Below are 27,894 nucleotides of genomic sequence, written 5' to 3'. Positions count from 1 at the left end.
CAAAGATTTAGTTCCAAATATTTATATATTTTATCAATAATTACATATTTCTCACACATTAAAATGATAATATTTTGAATATAATGGGTGAATTACATTGTTAACAATCAGTTCAACTTGTTTCTTTTTAAAGTTTGGCTACTAGAAAATTTCAAATCCACATGTGGCTGACATTCATTTTAGATGATTTTCTCTTTTCTAAAATCTCAGGCTGCCTGCTCAAAGGGCCAGAAGCCAGGAAGGTCATAAAAGCTGAAATTTTAAAATAATTGTTATATTCTTTTCACTTGTGTATAGCTATATAATGTATTATTTATTTATACATATGACCTTATACACAAATTTAAAGGCAAATACTCTCTGGGATGGGCCTAGCTCAGCTGAGGGAGGAAGCCCTGTCAGAAGAGGGGGCAGTCTAGGCTGTCACTCTTTCTTCATTGAACCCGCATCTGATCACATCTTCTGTCACTCAAAGCCTGACAGGGCGGGGATTTAAGCATTATCCAACCAGGGACGCTGGGCTGGAAACCGTCCAATCAGGCATGCAGCTGGAGCGGACTGGACGGCTTCCGGGTTTGGCGGGGTCTTTGTCTCTCGCTGTAGCCGGAGCTCCAGGTTTTGCTCTCACTTCTCTGTGTCTTCTGCTCCTAGGGGCCTAGCCTGTGTGGCCCTCTGACCTGCAGATATTGGGAGATCCACAGCTAAGACGCCAGGACCCCCTAGAAGCCTAGAAATGGTGAGAGTGCCCGGTCCGACATCCCGAGAGACGGCGAAAGGGCTGGTTGGAACTGGTGGGAAGTAGCTGTGGCGGGACTCAGGCCTCTCCGCAGTCAGCTTCACAATCTGCGCCTTGCCCAGCTCGGCCTCCGTCCCCTTCGGCCATAAGATGGCGGCTGCGCTGACAGCCAGGACCCCAGGCGTCCTTTCTCTTCCCTGCGTAGTGACTGTGCCTTGGCCTGGAGCCCTCTCTTGGCAGCTCTGCACCCGCAGCGCCGCGTCTCTCTCAGATTGTGCAGGGACCACGGGAGGGTCGTCAGGGGAAAATCCTGACTCGGGGTGCGGGTTCATGAATGGGAAGATCTTTGGTCCGTGGCTTTCCCAGTTCCTCTTTTCTCCTATTAAAAATGTATGGGAGTCACTGCACAAATATTAACGATTTTTTTGTTTGTTTGAGACGGAGTCGCTCTGTCGCCCAGGCTAGGGTTTAGTGGCGCGATCTCCCCTCACTGCAACCTCCGCCTCCCGGGTTCTGGAGATTCTCCTGGCTCAGCCTCCCGAGTAACTGGGATTACAGGCGCCTGTCACTGGGCCGGCCTTATTTTTTTGTATTTTTAGTTGGGACGGGGTTTCACCTCGTTGGCCAGGCTGGTCTTGAACTCCTGACCTCGTGATCCGCCCGCCTTGGCCTCCTAAAGTGCTGGGATTACAGGCGTGAGCCACCGCGCCTGGCCTAAAGAATTTAATCAAACAGTGATTCAAGAATCATAGAGTATCCAGCTATGGTTTGTAGTTTGTTGTCTATGGGAGAGGCTTGAAGGAAAGTCATTTATAAAATGTATGATGAAGAAAACTAAATTTAGTAATTGGTTACAGTAACGTAGTTTCTTGATTTGTACAATACAGGTGAAGATTTCCTGGTTGTGTAATCAGAGGTTAATTAACAGTTTATAGTTGTTTAAGCCTACATTTTCTCTGAATGTAGTAATTAAAAAAAAAATGCACCTGAGTTAGATTTTTTTTTTTTTTAAGTAGGAACCCAGGGACTAGAGACACCTCAGTGGAATTGCCTGTCTCTTAATTATTTTCACACTCCACGGGGAACTGATTTTCTGCTGCATTTTTCACCTGTGTCCCAAGCAGGTTGTTAAGTCTAACCCCCGTCCCCCATTTCTCCAGCCTCACTCTGGCTTGCAGTAAGATACTAAATTTCCAATTTCTTCTGGCGTTCCCAAATGTCAACTTTTCCTTCCTAATTCACATTATCACCTATTTGTCCTTTAGTGTACTTGTTTATACCATATTTTAATTAATTGTTTTTGACAAAGCATTAAATGGCGCTTTTAAGAAGATGTGTTATCCGCTTGTAAATATTTCCCACGAAAAGGAAACAAAGACTAATCCTCTGACACTGTATTGTAGAAAATCTCTGTGTCTCTTTTCCTTTTACCTTCTCTAGGCACAGAGATTTATCAGAATGTTTTTGGGTCAAGGTTTTGATTTGGAAAAATCTATGGGGTGATGTGTCCTCAGCCACCCTTTAGTTTTTTCCTGGTCCTGGGTTTCAGTACTATCTGTGGATAAACCGAGATATCCGCCATGGTTCTGTCAGCTAAAGTGCCTAGTGAATGTCAGCTTCTGGTTTATTTTCTCCCGTAGGATGACCCGAGGTATGGAATGTGTCCTCTCAAGGGAGCAAGTGGATGCCCTGGGGCTGAGAGGAGTCTTCTGGTGCAGTCTTATTTTGAAAAGGTAACCCCTTGAGACATTAAAATTGTCTTCACCCAACCCAGCTTTCATTTCTTGGAGACACGTTGCTGGTCAGCCAATCAGATGCTGGTATTGAGGGGAAACACAAAAATAATTTCTGCTCCCTGGATCATCTAAGGGGGGCAGAAAAATAGTGAAATAAATATAAAGAAAAATATTGGAAAAAAAAGTGAAAATTTTGTTACCAAAAAGTATTCCAAAAGACAAACAACAACAGAACTGACCCCAGTGAGATGGTGTAAGAGCTTGCAAAGTAAAATGCACCTGGGGCAGTCACTGGGGCATAATGCAGTGTCTTCTGAGTGGGTGGTTCTTGAGCACATAAGTGAGCAGGAGTGGGTGGAAGAATCTCTCCAGTGATTGAATGACCTGACTTGAAACATGAGTCAGACACATCTGTTATTTAATCAGCACTGCCACTACCTGGGTTTGTCACCTTGAAGATATTTGTCACTTATTTTGACCTCAGTTTTTTAGCTGTAAATTGCATTATATTAGTAGGGCTTGAAAGGTAGAAAAATATTTACAAAGGTCATGAAAGAGGTGGGTTTCAGAAAAAAATGTCTGATCATGTATTTCATTTGTCAAAAATTTGTTAAAAATTCTCATTTACTGTTTTTCCCAGAGTGAGTTAGGAATTTTCTCAGGTGTGTTTTTTTTATGGCTGAGTGATTTCAAACAGAATTTCAAGGCTTAGCTTTTAGAATGCTCCCAGGCAAAATCTCTCAATTTTAGTTTTGGAAAATGAATACATTTCCACAAGAAAATGTGGTGGATAATTGGTGAGTTACATAGATTCATTAAAACATCAGTTTCTTTTTTTTCAGGGTAAATTTGTGACAGTGAATATCTGTGTTCAGATCCTGTTACATTGATTTTTGAGTTTTATGCTAAATTTTATGAGATGAAACTCGGTACTGTTTAGAAGTGCTCCCATATGACTCATTGTTTACAAAATAATTTTAAATGGAATTAATAAAGTAATACGTTTATTGTCTGAAAGAAATAGATACTTTTGCTTTTTTTTTTTTTTCCCCACACGGAGTCTGGTTCTGTCACCCAGGCTGGAGGGCAATGGCACCATCTTGGCTCACTGCAACCTCCGCCTCCCGGGTTCAAGTGATTCTCCTGCCTCAGCCTCCTGAGTAGCTGCGATTAGAGGCGCACCACTATGCCCGGCTAATTTTTGTACTTTTAGTAGAGGCGGGGTTTCACTATGTTGGTCAGGCTGGTCTCAAACTCCTAACCTCGCGATCTGCCCGCCTTGGCCTCCCGAAGTGCTGGAATTACAAGCATGAGCCACCATGCCCGGCCTGATACTTTTGCTTTTCTTATTGAGGTATAAAATGTAAGCACCTTAAAATTCCCTTCCCTTATATGAACACTGCATTTTGCTGGATTTTTCAGACACTTAATTTCAACAACCAAGTGAATAACTCTTAACATGGAAATTAGAGCTTGGTCCCAGTGACTCAGAGCTAAGGCTAATATTGAGCCTGCAGAAGAAATTTAATAACGGCCTTGTTAGTTTTTTCTGGGGAGTCTCTCCTGCAGATGTCCCAGCCTTCTCACTGCAGCCATGGAAGAAGCCTATCTGCTGAGAGAAGCTACAGAGTCCTGGAAAGCTGGGGGCTCACAGGCAGATGCAGTTAAGGTTAACATAAAAGGGGATTGGGAGGGTCTTGCTGATGATGAAGTTGTTATTGTTTTAAGGCAGTTTCTAGACTTTGTAATGTATAACCAAGTTCAATTTATTTAAAAAATTTGAATTCCAAAAAAGTATTAGAACAGGAGGAATACCAACTATAAAAACTTTAAGAATTGCCAAGTTTAGGCAGACGAGGGCTTTCTTTCATACAGTGGAGCAAAAAAGATTAGAGAGAAGGTGGGAAGGGAATGGCAGTTGGAGATTGAAAAGGTTAGATTTTAGATTAGAGAATGTTTTACCCTGAAGTCAGCATGTTCTTAGGAGGGGCACAGAATGAAGTTTTAAGTTAGCTCAGATTGAGGGTAGCTCAAAGTTCAGGAGCCCACGTAAAATTTTACTTAGACCACTGAAGACAAATTTAGCTGATTTTTTTCCCCCCGGGATGGAGTCTTACTCTGTCGCCAGGCTGAAGTGCAGTGGTGCAATCTCGGCTCACTGCAACCTCTGCCTCCCAGGTTCAAGCGATTCCTTTGCCTCAGCCTCCCAAGTAGCTGGGAATACAGGTGCGTGCCACCATGCCCAGCTAATTTTTGTGTTTTTAGTAGAGACGGGGTTTCACCATGTTAGCCAGGATGGTCTCAATCTCCTTGTGATCTGCCCACCTCGGTCTCCCAAAGTGCTGGGATTACAGGCATGAGCCACCACGCCAGCCTTAGCCAATTTTTTTTCATGAGAAAAAGAAAAAATATGTGCAGAGATTTTACCGAAAAGGGTCCCAATCCAAACCCCAAGAGAGGGTCCTTGGATTTCACTCAAGAATCAAGGTGAGTCCATAAAGTGAAAGTAAGTTTATTAATAAGAAATAAAAGAATGGTTTACTCTACAGGCAGAGCAGCCCCAAGGACTGCTGGTTGCCCATTTTTATGGTTATTTTTTGATTATTTGCTAAACAAGGGGTGGAGTATTTATGCCTCCCCATTTTGGACCCTAAAGGGTAACTGCCTGATGTTTCCATGGCATATGTAAACTCTCATAGCACTGATGGGAGTGTAGCAGTGAGGATGACCAGAGGTCACACTCATCACCATCTTGGTTTTGGAGGGTTTTATCTCACTTCTTTACTGCAAGTTGTTTTATCAGCCAGGTCTTTATGGCCTGTATTTTGTGCTGATCTCCTGTCTCATCCTGTGACTTAGAATGGTTAACTATCTGGGAATGCAGGCCAGTAGATCTCAGCCCTGTTTTACCCAGGCCCTATTCAAAATGGATTTGCTTTGGTTCAATATGCCTCTGACATTTTCCCCCTCTATTATTATTGTTATTTTTTTAAACAAGGAAACCCTTAATCCTAAGGGTTGTAGTGGGACGAAGATCAATCTTCTGTTACTACTTCATGCTGAATAGAGGTGATGATATTCTTGCCTATTAGCGTCTTTTGTATTTGAGGTAGAGAGGAGCTCAATCAGAAAGCATCAGTTTGATGACGGCCATTCCTAACTCCCAGTTCCAACAATAGGTGATATCTGGAAGATTAATAAGTGTTCACTTTAAGAAAACACCCAGTAAGTTTATTCTGCATTTCTACACAAGGAGTAGAATGGCAATATATTCTACAACAGTAAAGCAAAATAAGCAAAATTCTTCCAAGGAAACTTAAGAAAGCTTTTCATGAACTGGGCATTTGTTGGAACCAAGCTGATAGGAAGTCGTGGCTGATTGTCATGTCTTCATAATTCAAACAGTAATCCAGATTTTTACATAATCCATCTTATGACACTGTTAGTAGTAGAAAGAGAAAGCTAAGCTTTGTGACTGTTTTGTTTAGGAGTGCTATTTTTTTTTCTTTTTTTGAGGCATAGTCTTGCTTTGTTCCCCAGGCTGGAGTGCAGTGGCATGATCTTGGCTTACTGCAACCTCTGCCTCCCAAGTTCAAGTGATTCTCCTGCCTCAGCCTCCTGAGTAGCTGAGATTACAAGTGCACACCACCATGCCCAGCTGATTTTGTATTTTCACTAACTCTTAACCTCAAGTGATCTGCCTGCCTTGGTCTCCCAAGTGCTGGTGAGCCACTGTGCTTGGCCTACTAGTGCTATTTTAAAAATATCTTTCAGATTCATGCTTTCTGACCGGCTCTAGCCACAGACTCAACTCTGTGAACTCTATTGTCTCCAAGATGTGAGCAAAGCAAGATCAGCAGGATGTAGGTTGGGAGTGGGTGGTGGATATTACCTGTTGTGTTAGCCACCAAATTAACATGAAGAAGTGAACTGCTATGGCTGGAAGATATGCCATCTTCAAGTTCAAAAATAACTGCAAATAAACATAAGACAATGTGAAGTGTGAACATAAAAAAAAAAAGTTTTAGTCTTATACTTGGCCCGATTATTTCTATAAAGTGTAGCAAGAATAATTATTTTTCACATAGGCCTTTTAAATTGGGTTTGATGGAACCTTGTTTCATAAAAGGAATCTCAGATAAGAAATTTTTTTATTTACCGCTAGCCAGGAACCCTGTACAGGGGCTGTGTAGACAAGGTATAATACCAGTTTTCCCATGGAGCTTTATTGGTTCTACAAGTCAAGTTTAGTTCATTAAAGCAAAGTATGTCATTCTAGTCAGAAGCCTTGGTAAAATAACAAGTTTCTCTAATTGTGTCCTGTTGTAAAAGAAAACAGTTTCTTATTGCACTTATATAAATAACTAAATTGTTTTAAGTTCAGAATACTCACAAATATTTTCCAAATTTTTTTCACAGGTGTATACTTTACTCAATTGTTAAAAGGTGTGAATAGTTCAAAAGAATAGTTTTTTTGACTCTGAAAAACAAAACAAAGGATCAGTGATGTTTTAGGCGAAGTCAAAAAATATTACTTCAGTCTTCTATTAGTTCAGTCCACTCAGTTAATTCCTGTTCTGTTTGATAGTCATGACCATTTTAGTTCTCCATTAGTATTGAAAGTTCTTCCTCAGGCCGGGCACGGTTGCTCACCCCTGTAATGCCAGCACTTTGGGAGGCTGAAGCGGGCAGATCACGAAGTCAGGAGATCAAGACTATCCTGGCTAACATGGTGAAACCCTGTCTGTACTAAAAATACAAAAAAAAATAGTGGGACATGGTTGCGGGCACCTGTAGTCCCAGCTACTCGGGAGGCTGAGGAAGGAGAGTGGCATGAAACTGCAAAGTGGAACTTCCAGTGAGCCGAGATCGCACCACTGCACTCCAGCCTGGGCGACAGAGTGAGACTCCATCTCAAAAAAAAAAAAAAAAAAAACAAGAAAGTTCTTCCTCTATTCTAATGTCACAATTTCTAATGTTATCAGAAACTTGCATTTAAGAACACCTATCATTGTCTTATAGTGGACTACAAATCATCTTTTGAAGAGGATCAACACAAGATGATTGTCTGGATGGCAAAGTCTTAGGGCAGTTACAGTAAAAAAAAAATTGACAAGGAAATTTGGTTAGCTCTGTGGCATACAATGATTTTAGGTAACAATGTAATTATTATTATTATTTTATTTTATTTTTTTTTAGATGGAGTCTTGCTTTGTCCCCTAGGCTGGAGTGTAGTGGTGCAATCTTGGCTCACTGCAACCTCCGCCTCTCAGGTTCAAGCGATTCTCCCGCCTCAGCCTCCCAACTAGCTAGGATTACAGGCACCTGCCATCACATGCAGGGCTAAGTTTTGTATTTTTAATAGAGACGGGGTTTCACCATGTTGGACAGGCTGGTCTTGAACTCCTGACCTCAGGTGACTCGCTAGCCTCAGCCTCCCAAAGTGTAATTATTAATAACATACACTTAGTCATATTAGAATAATAGCAATTTCCTTTTTTTTTTTTTTGAGACGGAGTCTCACTATTTTGCTCAGGCTAGAGTACAATGGCTCGATCTTGGCTCAGTGCAACCTCTGCCTCCCAGGTTCAAGCAATTCTCCTGCCTCAGCCTCCCGAGTTGCTGGGATTACAGGTATGTGCCACCACGCCCAGCTAATTTTATATTTTTAGTAGAGATGGGGTTTCTCCATGTTGGTCAGGCTGGTCTCGAACTCCCAACCTCAGGTGATCCACCCATCTCGGCCTCCGAAAGTGCTGAGATTACAGGCGTGAGCCACTGCACCTGGCCTGTACATTTATTAAGAAAGTGGAGATATAAGAGAATGGCTTTCTCCATAGGCTGGTTGCCCATTTTTATGGTTATTTCTTAATTTTATGGTAAACAAGAAGTGGAATATTTATGCCTCTCCTGTTTAGACCATTATGGTGTAACTTCCTGATGTTTCCATGGCATTTGTAAACCGTCATGGCACCGGTGGGGGTGTAGCAGTGAGGATGACCACAGGACACTCTCATCACCATCTTGGTTTTGGTGGGTTTTATCCCACTTCTTTACTGCAAACTGTTTTATCAGCCAGCTCTTTATGACCTGTATCTTGTGCTGACCTCCAGTCTCATCTTGTGACTTAGAATGCCTAACCATCTGGGAATGTAGCCCAGTGGTTGCAGCCTTATTTTACTCAGCCATATTCAAAATCGAGTTGCTCTAGTTCAATAGTCTGTGGCTATGTGATAAAAAAGAAAAGAGAGCACTGTGTAATTCATAATGGAAGAGTGTTTCTTTCCATAAACTGTTCCTGGAGAACACAGAGGATGAAAAATTTTATTAATCACAGCTATTTACCAGGGTTATCTATATGTTTCATCTTTCCCCACCTCTTCTTTTTGTTCTATACATTTCTTCTATTTGATTTTTCCTGGGTTGTATCTTTTATAATCTGTAAACATAGCTGCAGTGTTTTGCTGAGTTCTGTGAGTAGCTCCATCAAATTATTGAACTTGAGGAAGGTCGCAGGAGTCCTCAGTTTTTAAACAGTAGCCCAGAAACATAGATGGGCCTATGGGGTTTGTGACTGGCAACTGCAAAGAGGGCAATGTTATGAGACTAAACCTTGAATCAGGGTCTTTGCTGACTCTGCATGGTGTCAGAATTCGAATGTTAGACATTGAGTTGGTGCTAGAGAATTGCTTGGTATTCAGCAAACTCTGCAGTTTTGGTGGTAGAAGAAAGATATCATGGAGACCTGGCCTGGAATGGAACTCTTGGTGTCTTGGAGTGGGAGGCTCTGTTCTCGTCTAAAGGAGAACAAAGCCTTTCATTGTCGTGTGATTCCAGATCTTCTAGGGTAAGAGAGGATGAAAACTTAGAGGAAAGGAACTCTGATGACAGACCCCCTTGTTCCACAGCTATCACCACAGGATTCTGATCCACTCACAAACATACCCACTAGACATTGACGTGTCCACACCCCTCCCAGGACTAGTCACCACACTTGGGAATTTCACTACAGCGTTGTGGATCCTAGTATTTCTTGCCAAAAAGCCACAAAAGTGTCCACAAGTCTCCTGGCATATCCCAACCCCCAGACAATGAATCTGCAGCAGCAACCTGTTTTCTCCACCAGCCTAGGGTCCTGGACTACCTGTTCATAATCTTCTCTGCCTGCATGGACCCAGAAATAAATCAGAGTACAGCGCCACCTGGGCCACTGTCTGTAGAACAAACAATCCACTTACACTGCATTCTTCCCCACCCATGGATTTTCTTTTTCTACACGTGTACATGTGCAGGGTTGTTATATGGGTAAAATTGTGTCATGGGGGTTTGGTGTAGATTATTTTGTCACTGAGGTACTAAGCATAGCACCAAAGAGGTATTTTTTTCTGATCCTCTTTGTCCTTTCATCCTCCATTCTCAGCTAGGCCCCGTGACTGTTCCTCGTGTCCATGTGTTCTTATTATTTAGCTCTTACAAATGATAACATGCATTTGGTTTTGTGTTCTGCATGAGTTTTCTAAGGCTAATGGTCTCCAGCGCCATCCGTGTTGCTGCAGAGATCTTTATCTTGGTGGTGTTTGTTTTATGGCCACATAGTCTTCCATGTTGCTTATGTACCATATTTTGTTTCTATTAAATCTTTTCTTTATTTTTTTTTAAGACAGTGTCTCACTCTGTCACACAGGCTGAAGTGCAGTACAGTTGTGGCTCACTTCAGCCTCAACCTCCAAGGCTCAAGGGGTCCTCCTACCTCAGCCCATTAAGTAACTGGGACTACAGGCACACACTACCATGTCTGCCTAATTATTTTTATTTTTTGTAGAGATGGGGTTTTGCCATGCTGCCCAGACTCGTCTTGAACTCTTGAGCTAAGGCAATCCACCTGCCTTGGCCTCCCAAAGTGCTGGGATTACAAGAATGAGCTCTGTCATCTGACCATACCATATTTTTTTCAATCTAGGCTACCACTGATAGGCATTTAGGTTTATTCCATGTCTTTGTTATTGTAAACAGTGCTGAAATGAACATGCATGTGCATGTGACTTTATGGTAGAATAATTTATATTTCTTTGAATATATACCCAGTTAAGAGGTTGCTGGGTCCGATGGTAATTCTGTTTTTAGTTCTGTGAAGAATCGCCACACTGCTTTTCACAATGGTTGAACTAATTTACACTCGCACCAACAGTGTATAAAAGCATTCCCTTTTCTCTGCAACCTTGCCAGTATCTGTTAGTGACTATTTTTTTCCTTTGAGACAGGGTCTCACTCTGTGACCAAGGCTGGAGTTCAGTGGCATATCTTGGCTCAGTGCAACCTCTGCTTCATGGGTTGAAGCATTTCTCATGCCTCAGCCTCTTGAGTAGCTGGAACTACAGACATGCACCACCATGCCCTGATAATTCTTGTATTTTTAGTAGAGATGAAGTTTTGCAGTATTGGCCAGGCTGGCCTGAAACTCCTGATCTCAAGTGATCTACCTGCCTTGGGCTCCCAAAGTGCTAGAATTATAGGCATGTGCCACCTTGCCCAGCTAATTTTTGTATTTTTAGTGGAGACAGGGTTTCACCACGTTGGCCAGGCTGGTATCGCACTCCTTACCTCAACTGATCCACACCCACCTTGGCCTCCCAAAGTGCTGGAATTACAGGTGTGAGCCACCTCTCCCAGCTTGTTCCAGCACCATTTATTAAATAGGGAATTATTTCCTCATTCCTCTTGTCAGCTTTGTCAAAGATCAGATAGTTGGAGGTGTGTGGCATTATTTCTGGCCTCTCTATTGTGTTGCATTTTTCTATGCATCTCTTTTTGCATCAGTATTATGCTGCTTTGGTTATCGTAGCCCTGTAGTGTAGTTTGAAGAGGGTTAATGTAATACCTCCAGCTTTGTTCTTTTTGCTTAAAATTGCCTTGGCTATTCAGGCTTATTTTAGTTCCATATAAATTTTAAAATAGTTAAGTTTTAGTTCTGTTAACAATGTTTTTGGTAGTTTGATAGGAATAGCATTAAGTCAGTAAATTTCTTTGGGTAGTTTTGACATTTTAGTGATGCTAATCTTTTCTATCCATGGCATAAAATGGTTTTCCATTTGTTTATGTCATCTCTCACTTCTTTAAGCAGTGTTTGATCATCTTGTCATAGAGATCTTTCACATTCCTGGGTAGCTGTATTCCTCGATATTTGTGTGTGTGTGTGTGTGGCAATTGTGAATGGCATTATGTTTTTGATTTGGCTTTTGGCTTGGATGTTGTTGATGTACAGAGATGCTACTGATTTAGTATCCTGAAACTTTGCAGAACTTGCTTTTCAGTTTAAAGAGCTTTTCTGCTGAGACTGTACCAATTCTATGTCGAACAGGAGTTTTGAGGGAAGGCATCCTTGTCTTGTGCCAGTTTTCAAGGAGGAATGCTTCTCACTTGTGTCCATTTAGTATGTTGGCTGTAAGTTTGTGAAAGATGACTCATTATTTTGAAGTATGTACCTTCAATGCCTAGTTTGTTGAGGGTTTTAAACATGAAGGATAGTAAATTATATTGAAGGCTTTTTTAGCATCTATTGAAATAATCATGTGGTTTTTGTCTTTAGTTTTGGTTTATGTGATAAGTAACATTTTTTTCCTCTTTTAAAAAATTTCTTCTAAAAAAGCAGGGAGATACACTTGCAGAACATGCAGGTTTGTTACATAGGTATGTGTGCCATGGTGGTTTGGTGCGCCTATTCACCCGTCCTCTATGTTCTGTCTCCTCACCATTCACCCCTCAACAGGCCCTGTGGGTGTAGTTTCCCTCTCTGTGTCCATGTGTTCTCATTGTTCAGCTCCCACTTATGAGTGAGAACATGCAATGTTTTGTTTTCTGTTCCTGTGTTAGTTTGCTGAGGATGCTGGCTTCCAGCTTCATTCATGTTCCTGCAGAGGACATGATCTCATTCCTTTTGATGGCTGCATAGTATTCCATGGCTTATATGTACCACATTTTCTTTATCCAGTCTGTCATTGATGGGCATTTGGGTTGGCTCCATGTCTTTGTTATTGTAAATAGTGCTGCAGTAAACATACATGTGCATGTGTCTTTATAGTAGAATGGTTTATATTCCTTTGGGTATATACCCAGTAATGGGATTGCTGGATCAAATGGTAATTCTGGTCTAGATCCTTGAGGAATGACCATACTGTCTTCCACAATGGTTAGACTAATTTGCCTTCCCACCAAGAGTGTAAAAGTGTTACTATTTCTCCACAGCCTCACCGGCATCTGTTTCTTGACTTTTTAATCATTACCATTCTGACTGGTGTGAGATGTATCTCACTGTGGTTTTGATTTGCATTTCCCTGATGATCAGTGATGTTGAGCTTTTTTTTTTTTCTTTTTTTCTTTTTTCTTGAGACGGACTTTCACTCTCATTGGCCAGGCTGGAGTGCAATGGTGCGATCTTGGCTCACTGCAACCTCTGCCTCCTGGGTTCAAGCGAATCTCCTGCCTTAGCCTCCCGAGTAGCTGGGATTACATGCCCCACCATGCCTGGCTAAGTTTGTATTTTTAGTAGAGACGGGTTTCTCCATGTTGGCCAGGCTGGTCTTGAACTCCCGACCTCAGGTGATCCAGCCGCCTCGGCCTCCCAAAGTGCTGGGATTACAGGCGTGAGCTCGGCTGAGTGTATTTTCATGTTTGTTGGCCACATAAATGTCTTCTTTTGAGAAGTATCTGTTCATGTTTTGCCCACTTTTTGATGGGGTTGTCTTTCTTTTAAATTTGTATAAGTTCCTTATAAATTCTGGATATTAGACCTTTGTCAGATGGGTAGGTTGCAAAAATTTTCTCCTGTTCTGTAGGTTGTCTGTTCATTCTGATGATGGTTTTCTTTTGCTGTGCAGAAGCTCTTTAATTAGATCCCATTTGTCAAATTTTGGCTTTTGTTGCGATTCCTTTTGGTGTTTTTGTCATGAAGTCTTTCCCATGCCTTTGTCCTGAATGGTATTGCCTAGGTTTTCATTTAGGGTTTTTATGGTTAAACATTTAAGTGTTTAACCCATCTTGAGTTACTTTTTGTATAAGTTAATTTTTGTATAATTTTGTAAGGAAGGGGTCCAGTTTCAGTTTTCTGCATATGGCTAGCCAGTTTCCCCAGCACCATTTACTTAACAGAAGATCATTTCCCCATTGCTTTTGTCAGGTTTGTCAAAGGTCAGATGGTTGTAAATGTGTGGTGGTATTTCTGAGGTCTCTGTTCTGTTCCATTGGTTTTTAACATGAAGGGATGCTGAATTTTATCAAAGGCTTTTTTCTATTGAAATAATGATATGTTTTTAATTAAAAGAGTTTATTAACTTTTAATATAAACATGAGAAATAAAAACCACATAAATTGTAACATTCTTTTTAAAATAAAACAGCTATCAATACTTGACTCTCCAAGCTCTGAACTCCATAAACAATGTTTTGTTGTTTTTTTTTTGAGGTGGTAGATTGTAATATTTTTATACCATTATTTATCATTTATTTCTCTGCCCTTTAAAAATGATGGAAATTGCAGCACAATATGATGTGAAATATTGCTATAGTAGAGGAAGTATTCCTGGCCCAGGAATGCTTTGTTTATAAGCAAGATTCCTAGGATTAGATTTGAGTAAGTAGGAGAAATAGATTTCACATAATTGAGAACACTAATCTCCTTTTAGTTTTTCAAATTTAGATGGCATTATCAGTCTCCTAAAATTATTTGTTCCTTGCCTTTTAAAGCCTGAAGTAAGTGTTCCTAAGGGTTATGTAAGTTATTTCTTAAATAGCAGGACTTAATGGGACACCTACAGGTTGGTAGCATGTAGGATGATAAAACAGCTGTTCATATCACCTTCTATCATTAGGGCCCAGTTCCTTTTATTACATGTTAATTAACAGTGCTCTTCAAAATCTTCCTTTAAATTAAAGAAACTTCGGTGATCAATGCATATAGAGCACAGCTCTGCAAGTAATTCATTTTAAAAAGAGAAGGGCATTTTATGGAGATACAAGATATTCCAAAGGTTTAATGTAATTTTAAGCTTTGATACTTGTAGAAGTGCTACAAACCTTCATAAAACCTTGCCTGAATGTTTTTCTTTTCCTTCTTTTGAGATAGGGTCTGGATGTCGCCCAGACTGGAGTGCAGTAGCATGATCATGGCCCACTGCAGCCTTGACCCCGCAGGCTCAAGTGATCCTCCCACCTCAGCCTCCAGAGTAGCTGGGACTACAGACATACGCCACCATATCCAGCTAATTATTTTTATTTATTATTATTTTTTACAGACAGGGGCTCACTGTGTTGACTAGACTGGTCTTGAACTGCTGCGCTCAAGTAATCCTCCCACCTCAGCCTCCCAAAGTACTGAGATTATAGGCATGAATCACTATGCCCGGTGCATTTCTTTTGCATTTAATTTTGCATTTTTCTAAGAGATGGGGTCCCGATATGTTGTCCAGGTTGAAGTGCAGTAGCTATTTCTATAGGCACCATCACGATACACTGCAGCCTCCAATACCTGACCCCAAGCAATCCTCCAGCCACCCAAGTAGCTGGAACCTCAGGTGTGCACCACCACACCCAGCTTCATTTTGAGAATTTTGAATATAAAGCTTTTAATTTTTTGCTTCAGTCAAGAGTGACTTCAAGAGTGACTGAAACAAAAAATCAAAAGCCTAACATTCAGGAGACAAATGCAGGGTGCGCCTGCAGTCCCAGCCACTCGTGTGGCCGAGGCTAGAGGATGGCGCGAAGCCAGGAAGTTCTAGGCTGCAGTGCACCATGACTGCACTGGTGAACAGCCACCATACTCCAGCCTGGACAACACAGCAAGACCCCCATCTCTTAAAGAAAAAAAACAAAACTCTCAAATGATGTTTTTCAAAGGTTTATAGCATTTATACTCCTGCTGCAGTACCTTGGAGGGCCCAAACTATATTAAAGCTTAAAACTGCTTTACTTTTTTTTCACTGTCACTGAACCACCATGTTCATTGGCATTATGAAAATATCTTTTAATACATTTATTTAATAAGATAAAAATTATCAGAAAATGAGAAGTACCATTTATAGTTCACAAGAAATGCAACATGGACCCCAATAGAAGTAGATATCATAACTGATACTTCCTTTGTTTATGACCGCAGACATGCTAAAATGCTAAAGTAATGCTTGCAAAGAATATGAATGACAAATGTTATCCATCAGCTTTTTGGTTTAAAATGATTGCCAATGACTAGCAGCTTTAATGGTAACAGTAGGGAGGAAGAACCCTTCAATACCTAACAATGCTGCAGTCTGCTCCTAAGTGGCTTTAGTTAGAGTCCCTTGTTTTAAGGGCAATACTGCATTGATTCTAAAGGCATATGCAGCAAAATGAGCAGGGGGAGAAAAACTGGAAGAAACATAAAAGTTATATGGTTAATGTCTTTAAAGTCTAAAAATTTAAACTATTGTTTAAAAAACCTAACATAGTTCAGTTACTGGCCCACATTGTAAGCAAATATCTGTGTGTGGGATGGGAGCCTTCACTTTGGAGTGGTTTTGGTGACTCTGTTTACATTAAAAAGGACAGAAGAGTGTTTTGTTGCATTGACAAGGTCCCATTCTTTTCTATGGAGTATGATCCTTGTTGTCCGTGCGTCTCTTGAATTTGAGATCTTTCCTTTTGATGAAAACACTAATTTTGCTGGTTTTTGAGCAGGAAAGGTGGTATTTCTCCAGTCTTTGTAGATGAAGGTCCCGTGACATTATAACCCCTCATTTCTCCCTTTAAGAGAGGATGGCTTTAGAGTGCTGAATACCAATGAAGTTGATCAGCGCTGAAAGACCTTCTTACAGCTGCTCCACACAAGTCTTTGTCTTCACATAATCTAGAAATAGCCTCTAGGTTCTGTGCTCTTTCTTTGCTAAGAGGAGCAAATAGAAAATTCAGGTGGTCATCTGCTAAGGAGCGATGGTCAAGGTAGTGTTTGGCATAAACACTAGCAGGAACATTAATATTAAACTGAAGAAGCTCCGAAAAATGCCTTTCCATTTCATTCATGTCCTCAACTGTAATGTCCTTGAGGATCTGGCAGTAGTCCACATTCCATACAGCCTGATCATCCCAAACCTTGGAGGCAAGAAGAGTGGCTCCCAGAACAATCCTTTTCTAGTTAGTGGGGCAAATGTCGATTTCAGCATAAGTTAAAAGCCTTTCTAAGTAAACCAGAGTTACTGTTGCACATTCAGCTGTTAGCTGTGCAGCACTAAAAAGAGTATGAACAAATCTGTAAATAAATTTGTGCTCAGGATCATGCTTAAACTATTCCTGTGGAACTTTTTCTCGTGTGAGGGGATGTGATCTCTCATCAAAAATATCCAGGGATCTGTTTGCATCTCTGTTCTTTATGTGGTAATATATTTCTAAGGTCACATTTTACTGTGGTTCTAAGGTTAGGCTGGCTGACTGTTCTGTCACCTAGAAATATTGTTGAGCATGAGCTATACTTTTTAGTAAGCTGCCCTGGAGATAGATGATTTAAGTGGTTGCTCTTCCTCTTGTCTCGCACATCGGTTTGAGATTTGCTCAGGAAACTTGTGCTTGCCCTTGGATGGTCAGAAGGGTTTGACTCCAAAGCTAAATCTTAGGGCATCTCGTGGTCGCTGATGTGCTGCAGGTGGTGGCCCTCGCCCGCTGCGAAATCCAACTGGTAGGCTCCACAGAAGCGGGCGCTACCGCCACCGCATCCCCGGGTGCCGCCTCGTAGATGTCGGTTGCGCAGTACAGCTCTGGCACCACGCACCGGCCCAGCTTGAGGCTGGTACTGGGGGGACACGCAATAGGTCAGCGTGTTCCCCATGGGGCGTCTCTGCTCCTCTGGGCCGGGGCTGGCGCCTTCTCTAGCCCCCTACTCGCCGCCCTCAGCAGCCGCCCCTCCCCCAACAATGGCGCAGCCCAGGCTGCACCCGCGCAAGCAGGTGCCTCCTCGCTGGCAGTTCACCCGCCCACCCCGCGACCCGCCCCGGGCAGGGCTCCGGCCTCCCTGCACGCTCGCCGCGCTGCCGCTGCCTCCGCCTCCCCAAGCTGACTCATCTGGAGATAATTATGTGTTTTTCTCTTTCGTTCTCTTTATGTGATGGATTACATTTATTGATTTACATATGTTGAACCAGCCTTGCATCCCAGGTATGAAGCCGACTTGATAGAGGTGGATAAGTTTTTTGATGTGCTCCTGGATTCGGTTCTCCAGTGTTTTATTGAGGTTTTTCACATCAGTGCTCCTCAGGGATATTGGTCTGAAGTTTTCTTTTTTTATTGTGTCTCTTCCCAGTTTTGGTATCAGAATGATGCTGTTTTTATATAATGAGCTGAAAAAGAAGTCCCTTTTTCTCAATATTTTGAAATAATATTAGAAGTGGTACCAGCTCTTCTTTGTACATCTGGTAGAATTAATCTGTAAATTTGTCTGGTTCTTTGCTATTTGTGATTGGTGGCCATTTAAGACCAATTCAGTTTTGGCACTTGTTATTGGTCTATTCAGGGATTCAATTTCTTATTTGTTCAGTCTTTGGAAGATGTATTTTTGCTCCAAGGTTACAGTCCTCAAGCTTGGCCCAGATGAACTCTCTACTTATATTCATGTTGCCTCAGTTTTTTCTTTTAGTTAGACATATTATTTAGAATGTGCCAGAGCAGCCTCTATGAGGGGAGCTCTCCTTTGATTGTAGTCTGTTTGCTGTAACACCCAAGGATGCAGAGTCAGATTGATCCCACCTAGAATCTGCACATAAGGTCTGGCCTCTGCCTAGGATTTACAAGACAGGGCCAGAAGACTTTGGATTGAGAATGTACTGAAAACCAACAGAAGGCATTTTCTGTATTGTGAGATGTCAGTGTAGAAATCTTGAAGCCCCCATTTGAGAGTGTGGCTCTTCAAGCTTTTCAGATCTTGTTTAGTGAGTGACCTGCTACAGTTATGTGAGAGACTCCAGGTATAAATAGAATTTGATGACAGAATCTGTAAGTGTAAACGAGCATCTTAAGAGTGAGAGATCAAGGCCACAAAGTATCCAGAGCCATGACCACAACTATACCTACCTGTAAAATATGATACTGGAGTAGAGTATTCTTGTCCTTCTTCTTACCCAAAAGCTAGCAAGTCAGGATAGGTGATGCAGGTTCTGGAGCTCCACCAAGGCAGTTCCATTTTCTATTTAGAATCAGCATGAATCTCTCTCAGCCTGGCTTATCACTGGGCCATCAGCCCAGGGTCAGTAAGAACCTTCTCACAATCACCTAGATGTCTTTGAGACATTTGAGGATGTCCAGTGCAGAATTGTTTCAGGCTGACGAGTGGTTAATTCTGCTTCTGTCTCGGTGTAAGAGAAATGAGTCATTCTGTTTTTTTTTTTTCTCCCTTCATACTCATACAAGAGATAACTTTGGTTGGTACCCAGATGAGAGTTTCTCTAGTTTGCTGTTACTTTGGTGAAACACAAAGAGGAGGTCCGGTGACTCAAAAGATAAACTAATTGCTTCCATTTCATAAGGTCATTCAAAAAATAGATGAAGCAGTCACGGTCCCTACCATCCAGAAACTTTTGCTCTAGACTAGCAACTGGATACACGGTTGAATTAAACATCATATGGTTGGTACGGTGAATAGATGTGTGCAAAGCAAAACAAAACTTTGGCCTCTTCAGTCGGGAGCAGTGGCTCACGCCTGTAATCCCAGCACTTTGGGAGGCCGAGGCAGGCGGATCACCTGAGGTTGGGAGTTCGAGATCAGCCTGAACAACATGGAGAAACCCTGTCTCTGCTAAAAATACAAAAAATTAACTAGGCGAGGTGGTGCATGCCTGTAATTCCAGCTACTTGGGAGGCTGAGGCAGGAGAATCACTTGAACCCAGGAGGTAGAGTTTGCGTTGAGCCAAGATTGTGCCATTGCACTCCAGCCTGGGTGACAAGAATGAAACTCCATCTCAAAAACAAAACAAAACAAAAAAACTTTGCCCACTTCTTTTTATATTGTTGTGTCTTCTGAGGTTATCACCTGAAGGGATATTTATGGACTGAAGAGTTGTTAGTATTATTTGTGTATCTTTTACTTTGTTAGAATACATACTTATCTTCTAATGAAATTATTCCAGAAAACTTTAAAAGAGTCATTTAAATTGCCTGTTAGTATAGTTATAAAATTGACAGAGCAGTGGCAAAAATAGATTAAAGTTACATAAACTCTAGGATTTAAGTTTTTCTTAGGTAAGCTTAGGAAAAACAGAACTGGAAATACTCCAGTGGCAGAGAACAGAATTCTCCATAGGGTCCTTTCCCTGCCCCAGTTCTGTTCAGATTCACCCTTTTTGAAGGCCTTCTTTAGGTCTGGCCCACTTTGGAGTCTTGCCTTACAGAACTGATTTATAAAGGTCAGAGTTTTGGCCGGTAAATCCTTCTGCCTTTCTAGAGCTGGTGCTTACAATTTCCTGCAACCCAAAAGCAGATAAATAAGAAAAATAAACTATACATTTTAACATCTTATTTTTTTAAATTTTGTATTAAAACCAGTGCTTACAGAAACATTCCATTTAGCAGCTTGTTTTCTATTCTTGCAGATCCAGTAGTTGCTCCACAAGTCACAGACAAGTAAATATAAATAGAAAAAAATTTCTTAAACTCTTTCTATGCCCCCTCCTCTGTCTATATTTAGCCTTATTCTGTACATTTTTTTAAAAAATCAATAACAGAGAAACAGAGGAAGAAGTAATAATGCTGGGCCCTTTATCTAAATCCTGAGAATTACTGAACACTTAGTATCAACTTCCAATGTGTTATGGGGATTAAATCACATAATATGTTATGCCCAGCACAGTGCTCTATATTGTACTCTTGAGCACATAGTACCTGCTTAATAATTATTGCATTAGTACATGTGTACATGTTGTTTTCCAAATGCAGACTTATTCCAACATTGCTGCCTTTTGTTTCCTCTGTAAACTTTAAAGAGCCAGCAAATAATATAAAACTTCAGGATGGAGTGTGGTTGTCTTCATTTGTACCAGAAGTATTTGTGTTGTGACAAGAGTGCTGAATGTCAGGGACTCTGTGCGGTGCCTGCTTTCTCTCACTAATGCTAATGATGAGCCTGGGGGAGCAACATCAGCATTGGCAGGGGACTTGTTTGAAACACCCATTCATGAACCCTTTCCAAACATGCAGAATCACATTACATAAAGTGGGACCAACATTACCAAGTGATTTTTGAGCTCATTAAAGCTTGAGAGGCAATGCTTAGCTAAGTGGTTATCAGCCCAGGCTTCTCATTAAGATCACATGACCAGTTGGCAAAAATCTCTTGTGCCTTCCCCACAGCTTCTGTTTATTGTTGTGGGTGGAAGCATCCATGTTATTTTAATGAAGTGCCTCATGTGACTCTAAGGTGAGGCCAGAATGAAGTATGAGGGCTTCAAGATACATTCATGAGAGTTAAGTGCCACCTTTGCACTAAAGGGTGGTTACGATACCTGTTCTGTTTGGGTTTGGTAGGGACAGGGCAGTGTGGCCCATATGTTCATTACTGTAGCAGAAATTGCTGGTGTTTGTGGCAGGGGAGGGCACCTGAGACAGGAAAGGAGAAACTTACATTTTTACATCCATGGAGCAGCACATTTTTCCTGAATCTCCTCTGTTATAAGGGAGAGGTATGGGTGGACTTTTTGGTCTTGGTCCTTCTGTCTGTGGGCGTGGTGCTAGCAGGTAAGAAGGTGGTGCTGACACATTTAAGGCAGTTTTCTCAAGATGTAGATGTTACTTCTTTAGAGAATTTCATCTGAAAAGGATTCCAAGAGAAGAAGGAGAAAGAGGAAAAATGATGTTTTTTTTTCTTCAGCTAAGTAAGTCTCACATCAAGAGCTTTGTCCACTCTTTTCTAGAGTCTCATGCATTTAGTATTTGCAAACCTTTACTTCTCTACTTGTGTTTTTCCTTACTAATGAGTTTAACTACTTTTTAAAATTCTAATGATAGTCAAGGGTCTATGCAAAATATTTCTTTCCTATGTACTAGAGCCTTCTCTACATTCTCAATATCATGGCTTCTTATATGCCATGCAGAATTCCTACCATGAATTTATGATCTGCACTATTAAAAATGTTCCCATTGTGGCTGTTGAACATGGAAGGATGTGGATACTCAAGATTCCTATTGGGGAAAGCTGGGGTTTACGTGGAGAATATGTAATGTTGAGGTTCCATCTGTGTTCTCCATTAGCTCTATGCAGAACAGGATTAAGAAAATACTTACTTAAATAGGATGGCATTTATTACCCAGAAAGTTCTGAAAAAAGATTGAGAGATACCTGCTATATAGGGTGCTGAAGAAAGACTACTTAAAATCATTATTGAAAATTACAGAACATTGGAGATACCTGTATCTTGAACTTTGCATAAAACTGATGTTTCTGTATGATTGAATTCAGAATATAATTTACTTTTGGAGGGGCAATATCTAGGCAATGATGCTATGTTCTTCTATGTGCATAAGCACAACATAAAAATTCGTCCTACTATGGTTGATATTAATAATTTACTTGGTTAAAAAGCTCTCTGATATTTCTTTCACTACAGAGTTAACTATTTTTCTTGTCATTATTAGGCATCTTTATGCAGTTAATGTGCATAAGCCATCACATTTAATCTGGCAGCTGCCCTTTTTTCTTATGTTTTCTTTGCATGTAGCTGTCTTTGGAAAATGAAGGCTCTTTGTTTTACAGGCCAGAAAAATCTGGTAAAACACAGGCTCTTCCACTTACTGGATGTTTCACAGAATTTTCTTTTGGGGCCAAAAACTTTGGCATTACTAGTGAGCTCGTTAGAAATTCAGAAACTCGGCCGGGCGTGGTGGCTCACGCCTGTAATCCCAGCACTTTGGGAGGCCGAGGCGGGTGGATCATGAGGTCAGGAGATCGAGACCATCCTGGCTAACAAGGTGAAACCCCGTCTCTACTAAAAATACAAAAAATTAGCCGGGCGCGGTGGCGGGCGCCTGTAGTCCCAGCTACTCGGGAGGCTGAGGCAGGAGAATGGCGTGAACCCAGGAAGCGGAGCTTGCAGTGAGCCGAGATTGCGCCACTGCAGTCCGCAGTCCGGCCTGGGCGACAGAGCGAGACTCCGTCTCAGAAAAAAAAAAAAAAGAAAGAAATTCAGAAACTCAGACTTCATTCCAGATCTTCTGAAAAAAAATCTGCACAAGATTTCCAGTTTATTGTAAACATTAAAATTCAGGAGGTGCCTTCTAACTCAACATCTCTTTTTTGTCTGAAAAATATACACAACTCATTCTTTATGATATAAATAATAACACTCAAAAATGTATATGTTTGTGTTTATGCTCTTAATTTTATACTTTATCTAGAAAAGTGTCATATATACACTGGTGTTGTGGATCTTATGCCATTCTCTTCTCTCAGAATTAGAGAATATTTTAGAGAATATTTCTGTGTTAAAAATTATTGGAAAATTTGTCATTTCTATTAATCAGAACCAATTCTCTTTGCTCTGTCATTTCATTTTAATTCAAATAATAAATTCTGCCCATGGCCACTTGGTAAATATATGTGTGTCTCTGTGCTTGTGCTTTTCAGGGGCCATTGACGTTTAGGGATGTGGCCATAGAATTCTCTCTGGAGGAGTGGCAATGCCTGGACAGTGCTCAGCAGGGTTTGTATAGGAAAGTGATGTTAGAGAACTACAGAAACCTGGTCTTCTTGGGTGAGAATAACTTTAATACACAATTTCTAATATACCGTAAAGGTTTCTCTTTTTTTGTGGAATGATTTTTGGTAATTCATGCTTTGCATAAATGAGTTTCTGATCCGTTTTTTCAAGAAAATCTTGAGGCTGTGTGTGGAAAAGAATGTATTCAAGATGTTTCATCTTGACCTGAACTTTCCATATTCCTGAGCTGATCTGTATCCTTCACTCTAGATTAGTGGTAATTCCAGAAATTTAGTGTCATAAAATATTGTTGCCCATGTTTTTAGGCCGGGCATGGTGGCTCACTCCTGTAATACCAGCACTTTGGGAGGCTGAGGCAGGCGGGTCACGAGGTCAGGAGTTTGAGACCAGCCTTGCCAACAAAGTGAAACCCCATTTCTACTAAAAATACAGAAATAGCCGGGCATGGTGGCAGGCGCCTGTAGTCCCAGCTACTCAGGAGGCTGAGGCAGGAGAATTGCTTGAACCCAGGAGGTGGAGGTTGTAGTGAGCCGAGATCATGCCACTTCACTCCAGCCTGGACAATAGAGCGAGACTCCGTCTCAAAAATAAATAAATGTATATATATGTACATATATATTTGCCCATATTTTAAAATCCATTCATCACCACCAATTTTTTGATTCATGAGTACCGGGTAGTGAAATTAAGAACCTACAAATTTAAAATATTTTCTAAATATTTAGAAATTTCTCTCATTAATTAGTACGTTAGGATTAATTTTCTAGAATATTCTATCACCTCCTCTTTACTAAGCATAGTACTAGGTTGGTAATTGGAGAATATGAGAAAGATTCATGTTATTTATTTCTAATAAAGCAGGTATTGCTCTCACTAAGCCAGACCTGATCACCTGTCTGGAGCAAGGAAAAGAGCCCTGGAATATAAAGAGACATGAGATGGTAGCCAAACCCCCAGGTAGGTGAGAGTGAACACAACAGATGACACAGATGTGAGGTCCAAAGGTCAAAAAGAAAGCTGGTCATTAAAATGTGGTTTGGGAAGCTATGTTCCAAAGGAAATAGTTTCTGGGATGCCTGAGTGTTTTTGTTTTTTGGGCTTTTTTTTTTTTTTTTTTTTTGGCTGTCACGTAGGGGCATCTTCTGTCTTATGCTTTTAAATTCTTTAAAGATTCTACTTTCCTTTTGGTGATCTTCCTTCAGGTTTACAGTGAGAGCCAGAGTCCTTTTCAAGGCATATAAAAGACTGCACAATCTCCCTACTTTTCCATTATTTGGGGGGACACACAGATATCTGCATAATTTTGGGAAACTCTATGTTAAACTATTTTTTAGTTCTCTTTTTTCATCATGTCTGAAATGTGTGAAAGTAGTGTTTTCTGTTCCGTTGTTTTGTTTGTTAATCTTTTTGCACATTCCATCCTGTTTTTATTACTATATTCTTGAAATATAGTTAGAACTTATAAAGTATAATACCCCTCTGCTTTGTTCTTTTGCCTCAAGATTGCTTTGGCTATTTGAAGTTTATTGCAGTTTCTTATAAATTTTAGAATTGTATTTTTTATTACTGTGGAAAAAAATGCCACTGGAATTTTAATAGGAAGTTTATTGGAGCTATAGATTACTTTAGATAATATGACACTTTAACAATATTTATTCTTTCAATCCATGGACATGAAATATTTTAAAATTTGTGTCTTCAATAATTTATTTCATTGATATATCTTTTTTGTTTTGTTTTGTTTTTTGAGACGGAGTCTCGCTCTGTCATCAAGTTGGAGTGCAGTGGCGCGATCTTGGTTCACTGCAACCTCCACCTCCTGGGTTCAAGCAATCTTCCTGCCTCAGCCTCCTGAGTAGCTGCGACTACAGGCACATGCCACCACGCCAAGCTAATTTTTTTAATTTTTAGTAGAGATGGGGTTTCACCATGTTGGCCAGATGATCGTGATCTGTTGACCTCTTGATCTGCCTGCCCCGGCCTCCCAAAGTGTTGGGATTACAGTCGTGAGCCACTGTGCCTGGTCTATCTTATATCTTTTATTGTAAAGATTTTTTTTACCTTCTTGGTTAAATTTCCTCTCAGAAATTTATTATTTTAATGCTATTGTAAATAAGATTGTTTTCTTTATTGTATCAGATGGTTAAAATGTATGGAACAGTAGTTTATACTTGTATGTTAATTTTATATTTTGCTAATTTACTGAGTGTATTTATTACTTTAGACAAATTTCAATGTAGTGTTTATGGTTTTTTTATATATAAGATCATATGATCCACAAAAAGTAACTTATTTTTCTTCAATTTCAGTGGCTTTTTAAAAATGTTTTTGACTCATCATTCTGCCACTTACTTCCAGTCCTACGTTAAAATAGAAGCATTGACAATGGGCACAATATAGTTTTGCATTGGTGTCTGTGAATTTGATGGAGGAAATACCTCTTCAACTTTTGTTTTTTGTTTTTTGTTTTTTGTTTTTTGAGACGGCGTTTCACTGTTGTTGCCCAGGCTGGAGTGCAATAGCGCGATCTCAGCTCACTGCAACCTCTGCCTCCCGGGTTCAAGCAATTCTCTGTCTCAAAAAAAAAAAAAAAAAAAGAAAAAGAAAAATTAATGGTTGTAAAAACACGTAACATAAAATTTACCATCTTAAATCTTTTTTTTTTTTTTTTGGGTGGGGGACAGAGTCTTGCTCTGTCGCCGAGGCTGGAGTGCAATAGCGCAATCTCGGCTCACTGCAACCCCCACCTCCTGGGTTCAAGCAATTCTCCTGCCTCAGCGTCCCGAGTAGCTGGGAATGTAGGTGCCCGCCACCACGCCTGGGTAATTTTTTCTATTGTTAGAAGAGACAGAGTTTCACCATGTTCTCCAGGTTAGTCTTGAATTCCTGACCTCAAGTGATCGCTCTGCCTCAGCCTCCCAGAGTGCTGGGATTACAGCATGGGCCACCGCGCCCAGCCTACCATCTTAAATTTCTTTAAGTGTACATTTCAAGGCCAGACATGGTGGTGCCTCACAGCTGTAATCCCAGGATTTTGGGAGGTCAAGAAAGGAGGATCACTTGAGCCCAAAAGTTTGAGACCAGCCAGGGCAACACAGGGAGATTCCCTTTCCACAAAATTATTTAAAAAATTGCCAGGCATGGTGGTATGCACAAGTGGTTTCAGCTACTTGGGAAATTTGAGAGAAGAGAATTACTTGAGCCTGGAAGTTTGAGGCTGAAGTGAGCCATAATTGTGCCACTGCACTCCAGCTTGGGTGACAGAGTGAGACTGTCTCAAAAAAAAAAAAAGTTTTACATGCCAGGCGTGGTGGCTCATGCCTGTAATCCTAGCACTTTGAGATGCTGAGGTGGGCAGACCACCTGAGGTCAGGAGTTCAAGAGCAGCCTGACCAACATGGTGAAACCCCATCTCTACTAAAAATACAAAAATTAGCGGGGCCTTGTGACAGGTGCCTGTAATCCCAGCTACTCGGGAGGCTGAGGCAGAAGAATTCCTTGAACCTGGGAGCCAGAGGTTGCAGTGAGCCAAGATTGCCCCTTGCACTTCAGCCTGGGCAACAAGAGCAAAACACCGTCTCAAAAAAAATAATAATAATAATAATTGCATTTTAGCCATGTTAAGTATATTCACATTGTTATGCAAAAGACTTACAGAAATTTTACATCTTGTGAAATTAAAACTAAATACCCATTAAGTAACAACAACCCATTTTACCCTCTCCCCAGCCCTTGACAAACACCCTTCCACTTTCTGTTTTTATGAGTGTGACTATTTAAGATATCTCATATAAGTGGAATCATACAGTGTCCATCATTTTGTTTCTGGATTATTTCAGATGACATAATATTCTCAAAGTTTGTCTTAAAATTGACAAGATTTTCTTCTTTAAGTCTGTATAATATTCCATTTTATGTATATGTTACATTTTTGATGTGTTCATAAATCAAGAGACACCCGGGTTGCCTCAGCCTTTTGACTTTTGTGAGTACTGGTACAATAATCATAGATGTTCAAATATGTCTTCTAGGTCTTTTGTTGCATATTTTGAATATAGATTCATTAATGGAGTTGCTGTATTTGATAATAATTCCACTTTTAATTATTTGAGAAATGTAACATTTTAAAATAATGACTGCAACTTTGTTTTCTACCAACAATCAACAGAGGTTTCATTTTCATTGCATCATCAACAGAGTTGGCGTCTTTAAAAAATTTATAGTGGCCATTGTAATGGATGTGAGGTGATTTCATTTTTCATTTTTATTTTTACGTGTTTCTCTACAAATTATTAATTTGTAATTTGGTCAGGCTGGTCTTCAACTCCTGACCTCAGGTGATCCGCCCACCTCAGCCTCCAAAGTGCTGGGATTACAGGTGTGAACCACTGCACCTGGCCCGAATATTAACTCTTATCACATGTGACTTGCAAATATTTTCACCCATTTCTTATGAGGCATTTTTACACAGTTGAATGTTTTTTTTTTCTAATGTGGATAAATTTTGAAGTAGCGTGTAGTTAAATTTTTCTGTTTTTCTGTTGTTGCTCATGCATTTAATGTTGTATCTAAGAAAATGGTGCCAAGACCCATGTCATGACTTTTTTCTATTTTGTTCTAAGAGATTCGTTAGTTTTTTTATGTAAGTATTTTATTGAAAACATTTTTTATATACGGTTCAAGGAAATGATCCAACTTTATCAGT

General features: G+C 40.5%; 1 protein-coding gene and 1 pseudogene across 8 annotated transcripts in view, besides 3 other annotated features; one reads left to right on the top strand and one right to left on the bottom strand.

Annotated features, from left to right (window-relative positions):
• Positions 420 to 597: a silencer, noted in NCBI's record as "fragment chr19:21950368-21950545 (GRCh37/hg19 assembly coordinates)". NCBI's record gives its function as "represses an EF-1alpha promoter that drives an FKBP-Casp9 reporter gene in an ReSE screen in K562 erythroleukemia cells {active_cell/tissue: K562}" and the evidence as "EXISTENCE:reporter gene assay evidence [ECO:0000049][PMID:32094911]".
• ZNF100 (zinc finger protein 100) overlaps positions 584 to 27,894 on the top strand; it is a 44,809-nt gene continuing 17,498 nt past the window's right edge. Inside the window, exons 1-4 of one of the 7 annotated variants that reach the window (NM_001351669.2) lie at positions 584 to 736; positions 2,377 to 2,469; positions 23,096 to 23,222; positions 24,051 to 24,146. In NM_001351669.2, coding sequence (NP_001338598.1) covers positions 734 to 736; positions 2,377 to 2,469; positions 23,096 to 23,222; positions 24,051 to 24,146 — 319 coding nt within the window. In that variant the 5' untranslated portion in view covers positions 584 to 733. Of the gene's footprint in view, positions 737 to 2,376; positions 2,470 to 17,487; positions 17,643 to 21,273; positions 21,348 to 23,095; positions 23,223 to 24,047; positions 24,147 to 27,894 lie in introns of those variants that run through there. The other 6 variants (NM_173531.4, XM_047438363.1, NM_001351671.2 and 3 more) reach the window with 6 other exon arrangements.
• CCNYL6 (cyclin Y like 6 (pseudogene)) lies at positions 14,725 to 17,418 on the bottom strand (annotated as a pseudogene). Its single transcript, NR_024523.1, has one exon. The product of NR_024523.1 is annotated as a cyclin Y like 6 (pseudogene) (transcript).
• Positions 16,735 to 17,234: an enhancer, noted in NCBI's record as "H3K4me1 hESC enhancer chr19:21933731-21934230 (GRCh37/hg19 assembly coordinates)". NCBI's record gives its function as "activates a minimal SCP1, AML or CMV promoter by ChIP-STARR-seq in primed H9 embryonic stem cells {active_cell/tissue: H9 hESC(primed)}" and the evidence as "EXISTENCE:reporter gene assay evidence [ECO:0000049][PMID:30033119]".
• Positions 17,235 to 17,736: an enhancer, noted in NCBI's record as "H3K4me1 hESC enhancer chr19:21933229-21933730 (GRCh37/hg19 assembly coordinates)". NCBI's record gives its function as "activates a minimal SCP1, AML or CMV promoter by ChIP-STARR-seq in primed H9 embryonic stem cells {active_cell/tissue: H9 hESC(primed)}" and the evidence as "EXISTENCE:reporter gene assay evidence [ECO:0000049][PMID:30033119]".

Source organism: Homo sapiens, chromosome 19 (genome assembly GCF_000001405.40).
Source record: "Homo sapiens chromosome 19, GRCh38.p14 Primary Assembly".
NCBI lineage: Eukaryota > Metazoa > Chordata > Mammalia > Primates > Hominidae > Homo > Homo sapiens.
This window is presented reverse-complemented; position numbering and strand designations above follow the sequence as displayed.